The sequence below is a fragment of the Homo sapiens genome, chromosome 11 (assembly GCF_000001405.40).
Source record: "Homo sapiens chromosome 11, GRCh38.p14 Primary Assembly".
Classification (NCBI taxonomy): Eukaryota; Metazoa; Chordata; class Mammalia; order Primates; family Hominidae; genus Homo; species Homo sapiens.
The window spans coordinates 132,317,788-132,337,800 of record NC_000011.10 but is presented as its reverse complement, the minus strand read 5'-3'; the positions used below and the strand labels follow the sequence as shown (position 1 = coordinate 132,337,800).

The 20,013-nt window shown below is 46.0% G+C and overlaps 1 protein-coding gene across 41 annotated transcripts in view, besides 3 other annotated features; it reads right to left on the bottom strand.

The window, feature by feature from the left end:
- Positions 1-978: 978 nt before the first annotated feature.
- The window catches only part of NTM (neurotrimin), a 966,208-nt gene continuing 947,173 nt past the window's right edge, over positions 979-20,013 (bottom strand). For 21 of the 41 annotated variants that reach the window (NR_147848.2, NR_170359.1, NR_147850.2 and 18 more), the window contains one exon: positions 979-2,755. Coding sequence is in view for 16 of the 41 variants with exons in the window: in NM_001352007.2 (NP_001338936.1) it covers positions 2,655-2,755 (101 nt within the window). In the remaining 25 variants the exon portion in view is untranslated. Of the gene's footprint in view, positions 2,756-5,037; positions 7,649-20,013 lie in introns of all 41 variants that reach the window. The other 20 variants (NR_170346.1, NR_170347.1, NR_170366.1 and 17 more) reach the window with 8 other exon arrangements.
- Positions 2,695-3,195: an enhancer, noted in NCBI's record as "H3K4me1 hESC enhancer chr11:132204500-132205000 (GRCh37/hg19 assembly coordinates)". NCBI's record gives its function as "activates a minimal SCP1, AML or CMV promoter by ChIP-STARR-seq in naive H9 embryonic stem cells {active_cell/tissue: H9 hESC(naive)}" and the evidence as "EXISTENCE:reporter gene assay evidence [ECO:0000049][PMID:30033119]".
- Positions 7,281-7,780: an enhancer, noted in NCBI's record as "H3K4me1 hESC enhancer chr11:132199915-132200414 (GRCh37/hg19 assembly coordinates)". NCBI's record gives its function as "activates a minimal SCP1, AML or CMV promoter by ChIP-STARR-seq in primed H9 embryonic stem cells {active_cell/tissue: H9 hESC(primed)}" and the evidence as "EXISTENCE:reporter gene assay evidence [ECO:0000049][PMID:30033119]".
- Positions 18,403-19,602: an enhancer, noted in NCBI's record as "CDK7 strongly-dependent group 2 enhancer chr11:132188093-132189292 (GRCh37/hg19 assembly coordinates)". NCBI's record gives its function as "activates an origin of replication core promoter dependent on BRD2, BRD4, P300/CBP, MED14 and CDK7 cofactors, with strong dependence on CDK7, by STARR-seq in HCT116 cells {active_cell/tissue: HCT116}" and the evidence as "EXISTENCE:reporter gene assay evidence [ECO:0000049][PMID:35650434]".

Genomic DNA, 20,013 nt, shown 5'->3' with positions numbered 1-20,013 from the left:
TATGGAGCTCACCTATCTTTTCCCCACTCTATTCCAGTAAGCCATGCTTTGCACCCAAACCCTCAGGCCAGTGTCTGCTGAGGTGCTGGGCATGGGAGGGTTAGTCAATCCCAGCCACCCACTTTCATTCTAAGGAGACCCAAAGCCCCTCCTCTTTCATGGTTCCTGGACATAGGCAGGGATAAACACCAGTGCAGCCAAGATTCCTGAGGCTTGGCCAGGTAGTTCCAGACCTTGCTGCTGCGAAAAACTTGGGGCATCTGGGACATGGGTGGGGCTAGGGGTGAAAGGGTAGAAGGACACAAAGAAAGGTGAAGAAGTCAATAGCTTTCTTCAGTCTTGCCGGAAGCAACTGGAAATGACACAGCTCCATCCCAGTCCTTCCTGGTTCCTCTCAGGTGAAGGTGACTTGGAAATGCAAGTGCCGTCATTCCTGAGTGTTTTGGCTCGGACCCATTTCTGTCTCTCAGTTCCTCTTATGTGGCTAGAGGTGAGGTTTGGAGGTTGGGTTTGGAGGACTGGTTGATGGGAGATTATTTAAAACTAAACACAATGTTTCAAGCTGGCTTTCTGTTTTGTTTTTTTGCGGGGAGATTTCTTTTGGCTCTCGGGGGTTTTCTTGTTTTCCGTGACAGTGACTTTCTGCTGCTTCCCAGAAATAATTGGGCCTAAAGTCTTCTCCCTGACTAGACTTGACCTTTGCCCACTTGTGTGGTAAGATGTTTGAGCACAAGCAGGACACTGGCAGCCCTGGCCAGGACCTCCCGAAGGCACTGAAAATGCAGTCCCTATCAGACGCACCCTCACCTTGCCTCTGTGCGGGGATGGAGGAGGTCCCACGTCCTTCCTGTTTGTCATCTCAGCACTTGCCACCACTCCATCCCAGGAGGGTTTAAGAGCCCATCCTCCCCCATTCTTCAAACCTGAGCCAGGCAGGCTGTGCCCCCGCCCCGCTGTAGAATGAGGTACCACACCAGGTGAAGAGGGACATGGAACACTTTTTAATGTCAAGTCAGAGACAACCCCACCCTCCCGGATCCCCCAATCCCCCTTTCCCTCATCACATCCAGGACCCCTCCCCGAGGACTCTCAGGTTCCCAGACTTTCAGGGGAGGGGAAAAAAAAAAAAGATTACCTAAAAATTGCATTTTCTTCTCTTTCATACACACTCACACAAAGGTGGGAAATAAAATAAACCAAGAGGATTAAACTCTCCAGTGGTCACAAAGGCATCAGAGATTCCCATAATGGGCTAAAGCAAGTGGGTACTGACGGTACTGCTTGTTCAGCTGCTTGCTGTCTGTTAACGCCACAGGGCAGAATGGAGAAAGCGGGGCCACCTGGGGTGGCCTAGCGCAGAGCCACACCTGGAAAGATGCTGCGCCCGGTATTAGTTGTTTTTTTTTTTTTTTATCCTTTCACTTTTTATAAATGTCTCTGACATGTAAATAACCCAAGAAAATAAAAAGGCAGGAGCTGATTACACAATTACCAGTAAACTCTATCATCTTTTAGAAGATCAACACACAGCTAACGCCATATACAGCATGCAGTAATGTCTGAGAAAGGACCCTGCGGAGAAATAAAATGGCTAGAACTCTAACAAAAAAAATATATGTATATATATACTGTATAATATATGTCATCAAAGGAAGCATAGCCAACAAACCCAAGATACAGTGCAGATCACCTTTCCATTTCTAAACAGTGTGTAGAGAGCATAGTATTGTCTGCAAGAGATGTCAGAATTGGGAGGAGTCCGTAGCGCTGGTGGAGATGTTGGTTAAATCGGATGCATTTTTTGGTGGATATGCCAAATCCTCACCAGGTGATTAGTGCCTGGTGTGTGGTCCACCAGTTGTAAACCTAGTTAAGAAGTATACTATTCATTTTTACTGTTTAACAAACATACTTCTCTTCACCCTTCTCAGTTGTATTTTTTTAGTTTTGTCTTGTTTTTGCAGTAAGTTCTAGACTCATATCAGAAAATATAATTAATGAAATTAATAATGAATCAGAATCCCTTGTTATCCATGATGTTCATGTAGTAAAATGATAAAAAAAAAAAAAAGTTTAACGGTATCTTTTGTGACTTGTTTGTGGGACCGTTGTTGCTGTCAGACGGTCTTATTTTGTTTCCTTTTTCTTTCTTGCTCTTTTTATTTCACGTTTCACAACACACGCCGTGGTGGCACAGTCTACCAAAGTGCCCGCAGCGCCACGCTTGGGCCGGAAGGTCTCATTCTGTTCGTCTCTATGGACTGATTGAATTTGGGATGGCCAGCTCCAGAATGTTCCACGTGGGGGCACTCTGTGGGCAGAGAGGCTGAGCCCTTGCCCACACTGGCACCAAAGAGGTTGCACGATGCAGCTTGCAGTGGGTCCAAGCCGGGTGTGCTGTGTTCTTCCCGTTTGGGAAAAGAAAACTCCATTGTACCTAAATATCTGCAAGGCAATTTTCAATTTCTTTTTTAAAACTTTTTTCCCCCCAAAGTATTCTTTGTTCCCCTCCCTCAAATTTCTGTCCCATGAGGCTGTGTTTCTTCTAATTTCATTTGTATATATCTGATTGGTTGCTGTCGGTGTTGCCATTGCTGTTGTGTTGGTGGTGGTGGTGGCGGCAGCCTTTCCCGGGTGGGGAAGTGGCACTCACATCAAAATTTGAGAAGCAGGTGCAAGACCAGAAGAGGCAGCAGCCAGACGCAGCCTGCCCTCCTCGACGTGCCGTTGCTCACCTCGCTGACGGCGCCTGGACCTGTGGAGAGAACACACTCGCCGTGAGTGGTCTGGGAGAAAATGGAAGGAAAGCCCGGTGGTTGCCTGGTCTGCTGTCATTTGGCCTTGCCCCTGGTGAGTCATCCCTCTAAGTGAAACACATGGTGTTCCAGCCCCAGCATTAGAAGTGAACGTTCTATGGCCCACATCCCCAAGACACACACACTAGATAACGGGAAGCCTTCCCCTGCAAGGAGAGAACATGAGGCTCAGGTTAAAGTGTCCTGGGCCTTCTTCCTTACTGTGTCATAACATGCAAAGGCCATGGCTCAGGCTCAAATTCAAGAAGAAGGTGGCAGATTCATTAATATCCTACACAGAGCTTTAATAAAGTCAGACTACTGTGCTGAGTGCCTCATCACCCATCCACTTCTGAGCACTGCCTGCCTGAAATACTCACCCACCCTCCAGCTGCTTGGCCTGTGGCTCAGAAAAGAACCTGTTGGACAAAACAATGTGTCTGCCTGCTGCTTCTGCTTCCTTGGGCACAGAGGCCATCCTGCCAATCACTCTATCTCAGGGCAGGGCACCTGGGTTCCACCTGGAGCACTTGACCTCTTCCCCATCTGGATGGGGTAAGAGCAGATGCAGCTCAAGGATCACATGCCTGCAAGGCCGAAGCCAGCCCACATGGATGGAGGTGAGTCAAACAAAGGAACAGGAAGCCTTCCTGTGCATGTGGATGTAACTGGAGATCAATGAGGACACTGGGATGCAGAACCTGCCCCAGTGTATGGAGATGGAGACAAACACAGGAGGCAGGAGAACTGCAAGGCAGTACAGTTCCCCAGCAGCTTCCCTATTGTTCTGAAACATACGTTTTCTGGCTACCTCGGCCCTTGTGGCCAAGAAACCCCATGACCAGTGGAGCTTTGATTTCTGTAGAGTACATAAGTTTGGATGCCCAGATGAATTAGCTACTCAAGGAACCAGGCCACCTCCTCAGACTGGACCTGCTCTGGCATACTCTGTTGCATTGAATTTAATAGAGGTATTTAAAGCTGGTGGCCTCACTAAGTCCATGTCTTCCTGGATTAGGGAACAAGGAACAAAGCCAGAACCTGCCTGCCTGACTTGGATGCTCAGCGTTGGATACATTTCTGGCTAAAACAAATCAAAATCAAAACAGGCTTCTCAATTCCATGTGGGATTATTCCATCAAGTCTAGAACTCCTGGCTAGGAGGCAGTGCCCATATGATTTTATGTCTTGGCCTTTTGGGATAAATCCCTAATTTGGGGGCGTGGCTAAATAGGTAGCCATGAGATTGAAATGCAATAGGTCATCAACCTCATGTTTCCCTGGTGTCTGATTCACAGTATCCCTAAGGCCGGAACTTCTCAGAGGTGCAGATCCCCATGCTGAGAAGCCCAGGGGATACTTATTCTCTCTACCCTGCATTAAGGAGAAAACACAAAACCAAAGGCATCTGTGCTAGGATACAGGTGACCAAGGAGCACTCCTGTAAAGCTCCTGCGGATTTAAATCTCAACCCAGAAATGCTTGTCATTTAGGATCGGTCACTAACTGGTTGTGTCTTCTAGAATCTAACTACTATGTGTCCACAGAAACCATCACCAGACGTTCCCCCTTTGTAGATGCTCACTCTGTCATCTACAGAGCACATTCTTTGGAATCAAAGGAGAGAAGCCTCCGCCGGATGCCTTCAAGGGTGAGAGACTATGTTTCTCTGCTCTGCGTAAGTCCTTCCCCTCTAGGCAACTCCAAGATTCTTCCAACCAAGGCCCTTGTCTGTGCCCGAGGCTGAGGACTCTGAGACGACAAGGGTGGTTCTGAGTCCATATGGCCCAGCAGGCCTTTATGGAAGCCAGGTCGAATGTTTTGCCTCAACACTGTGAGTGTTCACATTCATATGAAGATAGCTTCATATGCGTGAATCACACCGTACAATTCCATACGTGTCCTGCACACTGGAGTCCTTAACTCCCGGCAGGGGACACAGCTGTCAGCACACTGCTCTGCCTCTTTCATCCCTTGTGCTCTCCTGAACATCCACACACATCTTTGAAACCCATTTCCTGTTCAATTCCCGCACACTCCCACCTCCCGTCTCCCGCTCCCTCCCTGTGACTAAGAAGATGCCCTGGGTAAGAGATGGAAAACAAGTGCCGCTTCCCTGCACTGAGGTGTTCTCTCCTCTCTTCTGAACTCCCTCCTTGCAGCCTGACCTGCCAGTGGAAGCCTCCAGGGAGGAGAATGCCACAGCCAGGTGTTCAGCCCAGCAGGGGCCTGGCGTAGTTACCATGTAAGGGAATGCTGAAACCTTGTTTCCAGGCTGGGGACTCTGCAGCTCGGGAGACGACTGAGAGCGGGCAAACACCCCCTGTGGCAGATCTCAATGGCCCTGTGGCTATGCCAGGCGCTCTCCCTGGGTGCCTGTGTTTGGTCTCCTTGCTACGCCCCTCAGAGTTCTTTTGTGGATCTGCTCCATGCTGGGAAGCACCACAGAGAGCTTGTAAAGACGAGTCGTGTCCTCACCTGTTTGTTGTGTTAGAAAATTCTTCCTATGGAAGACAGAAAAAGGCCACCAAGTGCCTGCCAGCCATTCTCTTGCTTGTAGTATATCTGGGAAAAGCCTGAGCAGCCCCTCTGAAGCTCTCCATCATCATCATCTCCATCTCAGGCTGGTGAGTGGCTGGCACTATGTGACCATATCCAGTCTGCGCAGCCCACCCCACAGGTACATGCGCTCACCACCCCCGGAACCTGTCTCTTCAGCAGCACATCCAGGACACCAGACCTGGACCAAGTTGGACAGAAGGAGAAGGAAACAGGGGTAGCCCCGAGGCAGGGGCATTCTCTCAAATGAGACATCCTCCCAAAGGAGATACTCTGCACCATCTCATCTTTCAATTCCCAAAAATGTTCACCAATTGGACCTTGCCACCTGTGGCCTTGACCCCTGGAATTTATTCTTTATGCGAATTCCAAGGTGATGTTTCTACCCCAAATCGATCATGATCCTCATTGATTTGAGGCCAACAGGCTAGCACCAAGTCCAGCTTCTCAGTGGACCGAGCACTACATTTCGTGATGTGCCTGCAGTCTGCAGCCTTGGTGTCTCTTCTTGCCACACCTAGTTTGGTGCCCTTGCCCCTTGCCACATAACCACATGTGAGCACACAGGGGCGGGTCTTTTTTCCCCACCCTCACACACTCTCCCCTCCGTCCGAAATATGTCTCACCCATATCACTCTTATTCTTCATTCCAGCTCCTCTTCCAGCCTTCAGCACCTCTTGCAGGCAGCCTTCCCTGCCTTGCTCAGTGCCATACACATCCCACTAGTAAAATACTTACCACCCTGTGTCATAATTCTCTTTGCCTAACTTATTTGTATTTCCTCCTCTGTCCTCTGTGCAGTAAGTTCCTTAAGAGCAGAGTCTGTATCTCATTGGCCCGTGGCAGGTATTCAACCAATGTTTGTTGAAAGAAGGAGGGGGCATTGCCACTCATGCTGACATATCCACATTTATTTGTCTTTGTGTTTTACTTTTGCTTAAAATTGTACTTGAAGAAAAAATAAAACAAAAACTTTTTTCATACCTTGCCCTCTGCCTTACCTCAATTTCCTCTTCCAAATACCTTTCCTCCCCTTTTCTAACTATATCCAATACAACTTACTGAGAATTCCTGTGGCTGAGTGTCTATCTACATAGAAGCAAAGCCATGTCAGTTAGGATTTCAGATAGAGCGCTTGCACTGGGAAAGCTATCACAACACCTTAATGACACTCATGTAGGAGATGAGAATTATTATCTCCCTTTCTACCATGTGGAAACTGAACTTCAGGAAGCTTAAGTGACTTTCCCAAGTCTCTTGACTTCTGTCTTCAAATGCAACTATCTTCCCACTATCTCAGAGATGCATCTTCAGAGAATAAAGAGAAGAGAGTGTGGCTGCATGGCCTGCTCCACCTGGGTACAGGTTAAAAGGTGAGAACCGCAGGCGTGCCACTGGGCTGCTTCCCGCAGGCCATCCCACACTGAATGAATGAATGCTATGTGGAAGGATTCCATGAGATGAGATGAAGACCTTAGGTCCAGGTGGGCGTGGACCACAGCACCCTGGGATCAAGGCCCTCTCAAAGCCAGTGCTGGTCAGAGCTACAGCTCAGCCCATCTGCCTAGTGACATGGGCCACGCAGATGAGGCCTCCATTCTTCATTCAGCCACGCCTCCACTCCACAGTGAATGCCTTTATTGCCTCTATCTCATTAGAGAGCTGCGGAGGCCTAAAGAGACTAATTACCAGGACAGTTAGGGTCCCAGAGAACGGTGATGAGTGTCAATTATCCATCGGAAACATCTGGCAGGAATGAAAGCTTCAAATAAGATGCATTTTATTCGTAGCCAAGTGACTCACCCAAGAACCTCCCCCTTCCTCCCATCTTCCCCTCCCCTTGCCACTTCCCTTCCAGCTCCAAGTTAGAGAGATAGAAAGAATGGTGCAAGCAAGGGCAGCATGCAGGGCCAAGGTCTGAGAAGATCGCTGCATTAGAGCATCCGTGTGTGAGGAAAGAGGCAGGCCTGGTGCAGAGTAGCCCAGAGATGGAGCTATTCTGGGCACTGACAGGTGCTCATTAGTGCCACCAGCAAAGAGAAGTTAGGCTACTGCAAGTGGGATCTACCTAGGAAGGATTGGATGTCCTTGAGGATGGGGTTAATCTAAATTGACACGGAGATGGTTGAAGGTTGGGGGAGGGTTCCCTCTGCGCTGCTTCCTGGAGTTAGCTCAGGAAAGAAGGCATCTGGGAGGAAGGTGAAGAGTTTTACATACCCCACACCCACCAAGGCAGCAGCTGTCTGAAAAATATACAAACCTTTCCAAGGGGTCAGGGCTGTAGTTTTCACTTCTAAAAGAAATTAAAAACAAGCCACTGTTAAGGTCGAAAGCAGACGGAGATGCTCACTTTGCCCTCAGATGATTTCAGGAAGAAGCTGGCGCTCCTGGCGCAGCAGCGTCCCTGCGCCTCTTGCCCATGTCCCTTGCTGTCCTGACCACTGCCCAGCCCTCCTATGTGACCCCCCTCTGGTTTTCTGGTTTACTTGGGCAGCCAGTTGCCTCAAGAGGTGAGCAGATGGCTGGAGAAGGATGTGAACGACAGTCAGATTGGACCACAGATGGAAGCAGAGCCAAGATGTCCGCCTGATTTTAGCAGGTGACACAGCTGCACCTTTGGAGCCTGAGACACCAAACCAAATAGGCTTTGTAGAACAACTTACTTTCTTTGGTCATCAGGCTATCCTCTAATTAGTTGAAGCCTGTAGGTCTTACGTATAAAGTTGATTGCTACATATGGATTTATACTACAGCATTTGAATGTAGGTGCTCATGCTGTATTTGAAATGCAAAAGTTTAACTGGCATTTAGCTATGCATTTAGAAACACTGGTGAGTCAGCTTCCATGTACCAGAGGAGACCAAACCATTGACATTTGACTTTTCTTGATGAGCTGGACAATACCAAGCTGGTCCCACAGGGCTTCATCTCTCTGGGGCAGCCTGCGGCTCTGACCCACACCCGTGCTGCTACAGTTGCACTTGCTGGGACCTCCCTGTAGAAATGCTGGGAGGCTGGCCCCTCTCTGCTGCCTAGGCTGTGAAAGGTCTCCATTTCACCAGCTTCAACTCTCAGAACAACCTATGGAGTCTCTCCACCTTTTCTGTGGATAGCAGATGCCTTGTTTGGCCTGAATTTGGAATGATCTCTAATCTTTTACTTCCCTCTTTGTCGTTCACCCTGGATACAGAGAGGACGGAAAATGGCACTAAAGCTTTTTGCATCAAAGTGATGCCTTGGGAGTCTGTGTTCTCTGTGCAAAGGTCCTCGCATACAGAAAGACAACCTAGATATAACTCATCCTAAAAGCAACTAAAACATTTGCTCAAAGTCAGATGAATACGTACTTGTGCATTCACACCTTCAATCTACTCTTTAAAATCACCTGACACACGATATCCCTCTTGATTTAAGTGGGCATTAGCGGCCCTGAGAAGCCACCCTGAAGGTACAAAGAGGGAAAGGGTTTATCGACGATCAAAAGTTTTGTGATTGAGAAAATATCTGATGTACTGCAGGACGGTAGGGAAAAGCCAGGGGTGATGATGCCATGGTGCCTGTGCATTTAACAAGGATGGTCCCTTGAAGGGCTTGCTGGGCCCCAGAAACAAGTTCAGAAGCTAAGGAGGGGGAGGGGCTATTTTCATTAATTGTCTTATTTAGGTACCGGTGATTTTTGATCCTCTCTGTGCCAAGAAAAAAAGATAACTGGAAGGAGGAAGGACAGACTAAAGACAGACTTGGGGAGATAAAGTAATCATAAAACTTTTACCCCCAAACCACAAGCAGTTTTGGGGGGCTCATCCAGACAGTGATGGGCGTACTGGTTCAGACTGTGCTGGAGGAAGGACACAGGAAGAGCCTTCACCTGGCAGTTGAGACTATCAGAAAGAAGAATGCATTGAAAGCACAAATTCCTGCTGAAAATAAAAGAGGTTTTCTATAAACAAAGACCCCCCCAAAAAAACCTCAGCTTAATTATTCCATCCAGATGGGGTTTTTTTCTCTTCCTCTAAATCTCCAACACACACTACTTGAAAGATGGCCAACTCTTTTTAGTGTCCACATAGGTAAAGAAAATGTGATGCTCATCCTTGACTTTAGCTAGAACTCATCCTTGGGCTTTTCCAGGTAGCAGTTGTTCAACCTTTCCAGTCAACTAGAGGGTCCTTTTGATCCCACTTCTAGCCCGCCACAATGAGGTGGAAATGCCAGGATATTTTCGTATATACTCTAAACCCATCATGCTCATTCCAGTCCACCCCCCTTGCTTTGGTACTAAGGAGAAGGTGCACATGCTGGCACTGTCCTCTGTGCCATGCTTGACATGCTTCTGTCCAGTGTGTGTTGTGTCCTGCTTCCAGAAGCAGGAGCCTTGCTTGAGCCACCAAAGCTAGTCCTGGCCACAAACTCCAGTCTTTGAGTAACATTTTGACTATCAGGAACATAAACAATCCCTGAAAATTCAAGCTTGTCAAGCATGCGTTTTCCACACCAAGACTTCAACTGAAATTTAATTGATCTCTTTGTTAATGGTATATTAACAACAGGTCAGGGAGGGTGGGAAAATATGTTGAAAAGAAAGGAAGAAAAAGGATGGAAGGAAGGAAGGAAGGGAGGGAGGGAGGGAGACAGGAAGGAAGAAAGGGAGAGAGGAAAGGGGAGAGGGGGACAGAAAATACAACAAGAAGAAAACAACAGTAAAAAGAACCCTCCCATCCCATCTCTAAGTCAATATTCAATGTCTGCTCAATCCAGAAAGTTATATTTTTGCCAGCAAAGCCAGTTTGGCTGAATCCGAGTGTCCAGATAAGCAAAGGGCTGTTGTCTGGCTCTAGTGGGCAGAGGAGGGCTGGTTTCATGTGAAGACGGATATACAAACCTTCTAGCAAGAGGGTGAGGGAATTTTCTTTCTTTTGTGCTTTCTGTTATCTAGACACACATATACCATAGAAATGCTTAACCACTGGATGACTTGGCCTAATTAACTGTCTTTAATCCTCTGCAGGGAAGAACTAATAATCTCTTCTGCTGCAATTGTTTCCTTCTGATATACAGAGTTTACTTTAGTCCCCATTCTTTAATAAATTGCTTTGATGGTCACTTTGAGGTTTACAGACATTAATCAGTCAACCTTTACCAGCCCACTGATACCATCAAATCTGACTTAATGCCCAGGAGATAAAAGACAAAGGACCAGTGGGTGGAAAATGAACAGCCACGGAGCCGCTGAGTTTGCACAGTGGCCTGAGTACAGTTTACTGTGCAGAAGCCCAGTGAGGGATGGTGGAACATCCTTGAGTCCTTATTTATCACCGTGAGAGTCCTGCACCACCAAATATTAATAGGAGAGGTGACATGCAATCTGTTTTGTTTGCAGAAGGGAAGCAGTAAAATACTTCAATGGTGGCAGAAAATGCTGAGGAAGAATGAAATTCTCTTATCAAAATACTTCTAGTCCATCCAGATATTGGTTAGCAAAATAGCTTTGAACTTCTCTTAAAGCCAAGTGTACTCTGTCAGTGGAAATCCATGCATTCATATAAATCTTTCCTGGTATTTCTGAGGTAAGGTAAGTATAACTTGGAGCGTATTTCCTGAGAAAATACATAGCTCTCTATTGTATCGAAGACTAGCAAAGGAGGCGGGGGAATGAACACATCAGTGCAGTAAATGAGCCCAGGTGCAAGGGCTGTTTTCTCTAAATAATTTCTCATTGTACAAGAGTCTAGCAGCTCTACTGAAGACTGTACTAATCCAACTGTCATAACGTTTTAGATATCCACAGTCTTCTTCGCTGACCCATTCTCCTACACCCAAGAAGGTTGCTGAGATGAGGGGCTGAGCACATCCGAAGAATCAGAGTAGCAAGTTGGCACAGAAAGCCTTCCAACCAGAGTCATCAGTTCACAGGAGAGAAGTGAGCAGCCCAGCTTTGTCTCAGCAGATGGGGGCTCCTTGCCCCTGCTCAGTGACCAGGTAAAGTAACCTGTTTGCTTTCAATTTGTGTTTCTGGTTGGTTTTCCTGCAATTGACTTTGCTATGGGATGGTGTTCTCTCTGTGAGTTGAGTACACCTTCTGTTAAATACTCTCTTGTTAAAAACCCCTACCTGAGTTTCAAAAGCTCCAATTTCCTCTGAGAATGAAGATCTCAGTGGTCAGAACTAGCTCGGTCCTTCTGAAAGCATAGCCATAGCAATGCATGTCCATGCTCTAGGCTCTCTCACTTCCCTGATACTGTATGTTAGCCACTTTTTTTATTTTTTATTTTATTATTATTTTACTTTAAGTTTTAGGGTACATGTGCACAATGTGCAGGTTTGTTACATATGTATACATGTGACATGTTGGTGTGCTGCACCCATTAACTCGTCATTTAGCATTAGGTATATATCCTAATGCTATCCCTCCCCCGTCCCCCCACCCCACAACAGTCCCCAGTGTGTGATGTTCCCCTTCCTGTGTCCATGTGTTCTCATTGTTCAATTCCCACCTATGAGTGAGAACACGCGGTGTTTGGTTTTTTGTCCTTGCGATAGTTTGCTGAGAATGATGGTTTCCAGTTTCATCCATGTCCCTACAAAGGACATGAACTCATCATTTTTTATGGCTGCATAGTATTCCGTGGTGTATATGTGCCACATTTTCTTAATCCAGTCTATTGTTGTTGGAAATTTAGGTTGGTTCCAAGTCTTTGCTATTGTGAATAGTGCCACAATAAACATATGTGTGCGTGTGTCTTTATAGCAGCATGATTTATAGTCCTTTGGGTATATACCCAGTAATGGGATGGCTGGGTCAAATGGTATTTCCAGTTCTAGATCCCTGAGGAATCGCCACACTGACTTCCACAATGGTTGAACTAGTTTACAGTCCCACCAACAGTGTAAAAGTGTTCCTATTTCTCCACATCCTCTCCAGCACCTGTTGTTTCCTGACATTTTAATGATTGCCATTCTAACTGGTGTGAGATGGTATCTCACTGTGGTTTTGATTTGCATTTCTCTGATGGCCAGTGATGGTGAGCATTTATTCATGTGTTTTTTGGCTGCATAAATCTCTTCTTTTGAGAAGTGTCTGTTCATGTCCTTTGCCCACTTTTTGATGGGGTTGTTTTTTTCTTGTAAATTTGTTTGAGTTCATTGTAGATTCTGGATATTAGCCCTTTGTCAGATGAGTAGGTTGCGAAAATTTTCTCCCATTTTGTAGGTTGCCTGTTCACTCTGATGGTAGTTTCTTTTGCTGTGCAGAAGCTCTTTAGTTTAATTAGATCCTATTTGTCAGTTTTGGCTTTTGTTGCCATTGCTTTTGGTGTTTTAGACATGAAGTCCTTGCCCACGCCTATGTCCTGAATGGTAATGCCTAGGTTTTCTTCTAGGGTTTTTATGGTTTTAGGTCTAACGTTTAAGTCTTTAATCCATCTTGAATTGATTTTTGTGTAAGGTGTAAGGAAGGGATCCAGTTTCAGCTTTCTACTTATGGCTAGCCAGTTTTCCCAGCACCATTTATTAAATAGGGAATCCTTTCCCCATTGCTTGTTTTTCTCAGGTTTGTCAAAGATCAGATAGTTGTAGATATGTGGCATTATTTCTCAGGGCTCTGTTCTGTTCCATTGATCTATATCTCTGTTTTGGTACCAGTACCATGCTGTTTTGGTTACTGTAGCCTTGTAGTATAGTTTGAAGTCAGGTAGTGTGATGCCTCCAGCTTTGTTCTTTTGGCTTAGGATTGACTTGGCGATGCAGGCTCTTTTTTGGTTCCGTATGAACTTTAGTTTTTTTTCCAATTCTGTGAAGAAAGTCATTGGTAGCTTGATGGGGATGGCATTGAATCTGTAAATTACCTTGGGCAGTATGGCCATTTTCACGATATTGATTCTTCCTACCCACGAGCATGGAATGTTCTTCCATTTGTTTGTATCCTCTTTGATTTCATTGAGCAGTGGTTTGTAGTTCTCCTTGAAGAGGTCCTTCACATCCCTTGTAAGTTGGATTCCTAGGTATTTTATTCTCTTTCAAGCAATTGTGAATGGGAGTTCACTCATGATTTGGCTGTTTGTCTGTTGTTGGTGTATAGGAATGCTTGTGATTTTTGCACATTGATTTTGTACCCTGAGACTTTGCTGAAGTTGCTTATCAGCTTAAGGAGATTTTGGGCTGAGACAATGGGGTTTTCTAGATATACAGTCATGTCATCTGCAAACAGGGACAATTTGACTTCCTCTTTTCCTAATTGAATACCCTTTATTTCCTTCTCCTGCCTGATTGCCCTGGCCAGAACTTCCAACACTATGTTGAATAGGAGTGGTGAGAGAGGGCATCCCTGTCTTGTGCCAGTTTTCAAAGGGAATGCTTCCAGTTTTTGCCCATTCAGTATGATATTGGCTGTGGGTTTGTCATAGATAGCTCTTATTATTTTGAAATATGTCCCATCAATACCTAATTTATTGAGAGTTTTTAGCATGAAGGGTTGTTGAATTTTGTCAAAGGCCTTTTCTGCATCTATTGAGATAATCATGTGGTTTTTGTCTTTGGCTCTGTTTATATGCTGGATTACATTTATTGATTTGTGTATATTGAACCAGCCTTGCATCCCAGGGATGAAGCCCACTTGATCATGGTGGATAAGCTTTTTGATGTGCTGCTGGATTCAGTTTGCCAGTATTTTATTGAGGATTTTGCATCAATGTTCATCAAGGATATTGGTCTAAAATTCTCTTTTTTGGTTGTGTCTCTGCCCAGCTTTGGTATCAGAATGATGCTGGACTCATAAAATGAGTTAGGGAGGATTCCCTCTTTTTCTATTGATTAGAATAATTTCAGAAGGAATGGTACCAGTTCCTCCTTGTACCTCTGGTAGAATTCGGCTGTGAATCCATCTGGTCCTGGACTCTTTTTGGTTGGTAAGCTATTGATTATTGCCGCAATTTCAGATCCTGTTATTGGTCTATTCAGAGATTCAACTTCTTCCTGGTTTAGTCTTGGGAGAGTGTATGTGTCGAGGAATTTATCCATTTCTTCTAGATTTTCTAGTTTATTTGCATAGAGGTGTTTGTAGTATTCTCTGATGGTAGTTTGTATTTCTGTGGGATCAGTGGTGATATCCCCTTTATCATTTTTTATTGCGTCTATTTGATTCTTCTTTTTTTCTTTATTAGTCTTGCTAGCGGTCTATCAATTTTGTTGATCCTTTCAAAAAACCAGCTCCTGGATTCATCAATTTTTTGAAGGGTTTTTTGTGTCTCTATTTCCTTCAGTTCTGCTCTGATTTTAGTTATTTCTTGCCTTCTGCTAGCTTTTGAATGTGTTTGCTCTTGCTTTTCTAGTTCTTTTAATTGTGATGTTAGGGTGTCAATTTTGGATCTTTCCTGCTTTCTCTTGTGGGCATTTAGTGCTATAAATTTCCCTCTACACACTGCTTTGAATGCGTCCCAGAGATTCTGGTATGTTGTGTCTTTGTTCTCATTGGTTTCAAAGAACATCTTTATTTCTGCCTTCATTTCGTTATGTACCCAGTAGTCATTCAGGAGCGGGTTGTTCAGTTTCCATGTAGTTGAGTGGTTTTGAGTGAGATTCTTAATCCTGAGTTCTAGTTTGATTGCACTGTGGTCTGAGATATAGTTTGTTATAATTTCTGTTCTTTTACATTTGCTGAGGAGAGCTTTACTTCCAACTATGTGGTCAATTTTGGAATAGGTGTGGTGTGGTGCTGAAAAGAATGTATATTCTGTTGATTTGGGGTGGAGAGTTCTGTAGATGTCTATTAGGTCCGCTTGGTGCAGAGCTGAGTTCAATTCCTGGGTATCCTTGTTGACTTTCTGTCTCGTTGATCTGTCTAATGTTGACAGTGGGGTGTTAAAGTCTCCCATTATTAATGTGTGGGAGTCTAAGTCTCTTTGTAGGTCACTCAGGACTTGCTTTATGAATCTGGGTGCTCCTGTATTGGGTGCATATATATTTAGGATAGTTAGCTCTTCTTGTTGAATTGATCCCTTTACCATTATGTAATGGCCTTCTTTGTCTCTTTTGATCTTTGTTGGTTTAAAGTCTGTTTTATCAGAGACTAGGATTGCAACCCCTGCCTTTTTTTCTTTTCCATTTGCTTGGTAGATCTTCCTCCATCCTTTTATTTTGAGCCTATGTGTGTCTCTGCACATGAGATGGGTTTCCTGAATACAGCACACTGATGGGTCTTGACTCTTTATCCAATTTGTCAGTCTGTGTCTTTTAATTGTAGCATTTAGTCCATTTACATTTAAAGTTAATAGTGTTATGTGTGAATTTGATCCTGTCATTATGATGTTAGCTGGTTATTTTGCTCGTTAGTTGATGCAGTTTCTTCCTAGTCTCGATGGTCTTTACATTTTGGCCTGTTTTTGCAGTGGATGGTACCAGTTGTTCCTTTCCATGTTTAGCACTTCCTTCAGGAGCTCTTTTAGGGCAGGCCTGGTGGTGACAAAATCTCTCAGCATTTGCTTGTCTGTAAAGTATTTTATTTCTCCTTCACTTATGAAGCTTAGTTTGGCTGGATATGAAATTCTGGGTTGAAAATTCTTTTCTTTAAGAATGTTGAATATTGGCCCCCACTCTCTTCTGGCTTGTAGGGTTTCTGCCGAGAGATCCGCTGTTAGTCTGATGGGCTTCCCTTTGAGGGTAACCCGACCTTTCTCTCTGGCTGCCCTTAACATTTTTTCCTTCATTTCAACTTTGGTGAATCTGACAATTATGTGTCTTGGAGTTGCTCTTCTCGAGGAGTATCTTTGTGGCATTCTCTGTATTTCCTGAATCTGAATGTTGGCCTGCCTTGCTAGATTGGGGAAATTCTCCTGGATAATATTCTGCAGAATGTTTTCCAACTTGGTTCCATTCTTCCCATCACTTTCAGGTACACCAATCAGAGGTAGATTTGGTCTTTTCACATAGTCCCATATTTCTTGGAGGCTTTGCTGGTTTCTTTTTATTCTTTTTTTCTCTAAACTTTCCTTCTCGCTTCATTTCATTCATTTCATCTTCCATTGCTGATACCCTTTCTTCCAGTTGATCACATCGGCTCCTGAGGCTTCTGCATTCTTCACGTAGTTCTCGAGCCTTGGTTTTCACCTCCATCAGCTCCTTTAAGCACTTCTCTGTATTGGTTATTCTAGTTATACATGCTTCTAAATTTTTTTCAAAGTTTTCAACTTCTTTGCCTTTGGTTTGAAATGTCCTCCCGTAGCTCAGAGCAATTTGATTGTCTGAAGCTGTCTTCTCTCAGCTCGTCAAAGTCATTCTCTGTCCAGCTTTGTTCAGTTGCTGGTGAGGAGCTGCATTCCTTTGGAGGAGGAGAGGCGCTCAGCTTTTTAGAGTTTCCAGTTTTTCTGTTCTGTTTTTTCCCCATCTTTGTGGTTTTATCTACTTTTGGTCTTTGATGATGGTGATGTACAGATGGGTTTTTGGTGTGGATGTCCTTTCTGTTTGTTAGTTTTCCTTCTAACAGACAGGACCCTCAGCTGCAGGTCTGTTGGAGTACCCTGCAGTGTGAGGTGTCAGTGTGGCCCTGCTGGGGGGTGCCTCCCAGTTAGGCTGCTCGGGGGTCAGGGGTCAGGGACCCACTTGAGGAGGCAGTCTGCCCGTTCTCAGATCTCCAGCTGCGTACTGGGAGAACCACTGCTCTCTTCAAAGCTGTCAGACAGGGACATTTAAGTCTGCAGAGGTTACTGCTGTCTTTTTGTTTGTCTGTGCCCTGCCCCCAGAGGTGGAGCCTACAGAGGCAGGCAGGCCTCCTTGAGCTGTGGTGGGCTCCACCCAGTTCGAGCTTTCTGGCTGCTTTGTTTACCTAAGCAAGCCTGGGCAATGGCGGGCACCCCTCCCCCAGCCTCACTGCCACCTTGCAGTTTGATGTCAGACTGCTGTGCTAGCAATCAGCGAGACTCCGTGGGGTAGGACCCTCCGAGCCAGCTGGGGGATATAATCTCATGGTGCGCCGTTTTTTAAGCCCGTCGGAAAAGCGCAGTATTCGGGTGGGAGTGACCCGATTTTCCAGGTGCCATCCGTCACCCTTTTCTTTGATTAGGAAAGGGAACTCCCTGATCCCTTGCACTTCCCGAGTGAGGCAATGCCTCGCCCTGCTTTGGCTCGCGCATGGTGCGTGCACCCACTGACCTGCACCCACTGTCTGGCACTCCTTAATGAGATGAACCCAGTACCTCAGATGGAAATGCAGAAATCACCCATCTTCTGCGTCGCTCAGGCTGGGAGCTGTAGACCAGAGCTGTTCCTATTCAGCCATCTTGCGGCTTTTATCCCATCTTTGTGGTTTTATCTACCTTTGGTCTTTGATGATGGTGATGTACTGATTGGTTTTTGGTGTGGATGTCCTTTCTGTTTGTTAGTTTTCCTTGTAACAGACAGGACCCTCATCTGCAGGTCTGTTGGAGTTTGCTAGAGGTCCACTCCAGACCCTGTTTGCCTGGGTATCAGCAGCGGAGGCTGCAGAACAGGGGATATTGGTGAACCACTGATGCTGCTGCCTGATTGTTCCTCTGGAAGTTTGTCTCAGAGGAGTACCCGGCTGTGTGAGGTGTCAGTCTGCCCCTACTGGGGGGTGCCTCCCGTTAGGCTACTCGGGGGTCAGGGACCCACTGGAGGAGGCAGTCTGCCTGTTCTCAGATCTCCAGCTGCATGCTGGGAGAACCACTGCTCTCTTCAAAGCTGTCTGAGAGGGACATTTAAGTCTGCAGAGGTTACTGCTGTCTTTTGTGTCTGTGCTCTGCCCCCAGAGGTGGAGCCTACAGAGGCAGGCAGGCCTCCTGGAGCTGTGGTGGGCTCCACCCAGTTCGTGCTTCCCAGCTGCTTTACCTAATCAAACAACTAACTAGGCAATGGCAGGCGCCCCTCCCCCAGCCTTGCTGCTGCCTTGCAGTTTGATTTCGGACTGCTGTGCCAGCAATGAGTGAGACTCCGTGGGTGTAGGACCCTCCAAGCCAGGTGTGGGATATAATCTCTTGGTGTGCCGTTTTTTAAGCCCGTTGGAAAAGCACAGTATTAGGGTGGGAGTGACTCGATTTTCCAGGTGCCGACGGTCACTGCTTTCTTTGACTAGGAAAGGGAATTCCCTGACCCCTTGTGCTTCCCAGGTAAGGCGATGCCTTGCCATGCTTCGGCTCGCACACGGTGAGCTGCACCCACTGTCCTGCACCTACTGTCTGGCACTCCCCAGTGAGATGAACCCGGTACCTCAGTTGGAAATGCAGAAATCACCTGTCTTTTGCGTCGCTCACACTGGGAGCTGTAGACTGGAGCTGTTCCTATTCGGCCATCTTGGCTCCTCAGCTGTTAGCCACTTTTCTACTGCTCTCTATTTTACGTCTGTGAATACAGTCACATGGAGGTTCAATAAACGTAAGTTGAATCATAGGTTGAATCTGAATAAGTCTATTGACTTCACTTTTTCTATTTCTTTGTTTCATTTTCTTGCTTGTGGCTCATCGCTGTGGTGCTGTACATCACTAAAGTGAGTAATGCAGCCCTCACTCTTTCCATGATAAAAAGGTACTTTTTTTCATCTGTCATGCACCTTCCCATGTAATGCATTTCTTTTCATCTCCCCCTCCACCTCCAAAGTCTACAGCCATCCTCTGATGACAGTTTGCAAGGCCAGAATGTGAGGGGATGAACAGGGTGGGGTGAGGTGGGGAGAGGAGGTCAGGGGATTGGGATGGAAGGTGGGAGAAGCATTCCCCTCCCTGGCTTCACAGCTGCCTTCCTGAAAGGCTACTGCTGTGGTCAGCACTGTCCTCAGGGTGACAGCAGTGCACGCGGCACCCATTTTATTCCACTGCTTGCTTGGATGCTTAGTCATAGTCATAGTCTTAATGAGTCACTCACTCTAGGCTAGTGAGAAAATTGGAAGGGATGTGCAAAGACAGGCAAGAGACGCGGGAGATATTTGCAGGGGAGGACTGGAAGTGGAAGAGGATGTAAAGGGACTGTGGAGAAGGGGCTGAGAAATGAGTGAAGGACCCCCTATGATGTTCCACTGAGGGGCATCCTTGTCTTTCAGTTTATGCCTGGAGATTCAACATGCACCTCACAGTTTTCAAAGCCTTTGTAACATGCATTCTCCATTGACTGTTGGAACAACTCTGTACGGTGGATAAGGTAGATCAACTGTATTGTAAAGAAGAGGAAATTGAGTCTAAATGAGGCTTAGTGAGTCACCCAAGACCAAAGAGCTACTGGACGTCAGGCCCTAACCTGGACCCCAGTAGCACCCCTAGAAATCACTGTGTATTGGCAACCACTCATGCAGTGCCATGCCTATCCTCCTCCTTTGGAGAACCTCATGAGCCAGTTGATGCGTTTGACAGAATATCTGAATTATCATGTGCTTGGTGTCTGACTCTGCTGCTGAGGGGTCATCAATAAGACCCTTTTTATGAAAACTGCTCAGTCAGTTGAAGTAGTCTTCCTATGGGTCCCAGACTCACTCTCTACCCTTTGCCTTTGTGCTGATCCCTGGGCATTGAGAATTTAACGATACTTTTCTTTCTTTCTTTCCCCTTCCCAGCCCTCCTGGGGGAGTGAGAGCAAGGGATGAGCAAAGCAAAGGGAGCTTGAAGTCTCCCTGGCTCCCAATCAATCACCTCCTTCAATAGCCTTCCACATCCTCTAAGACAC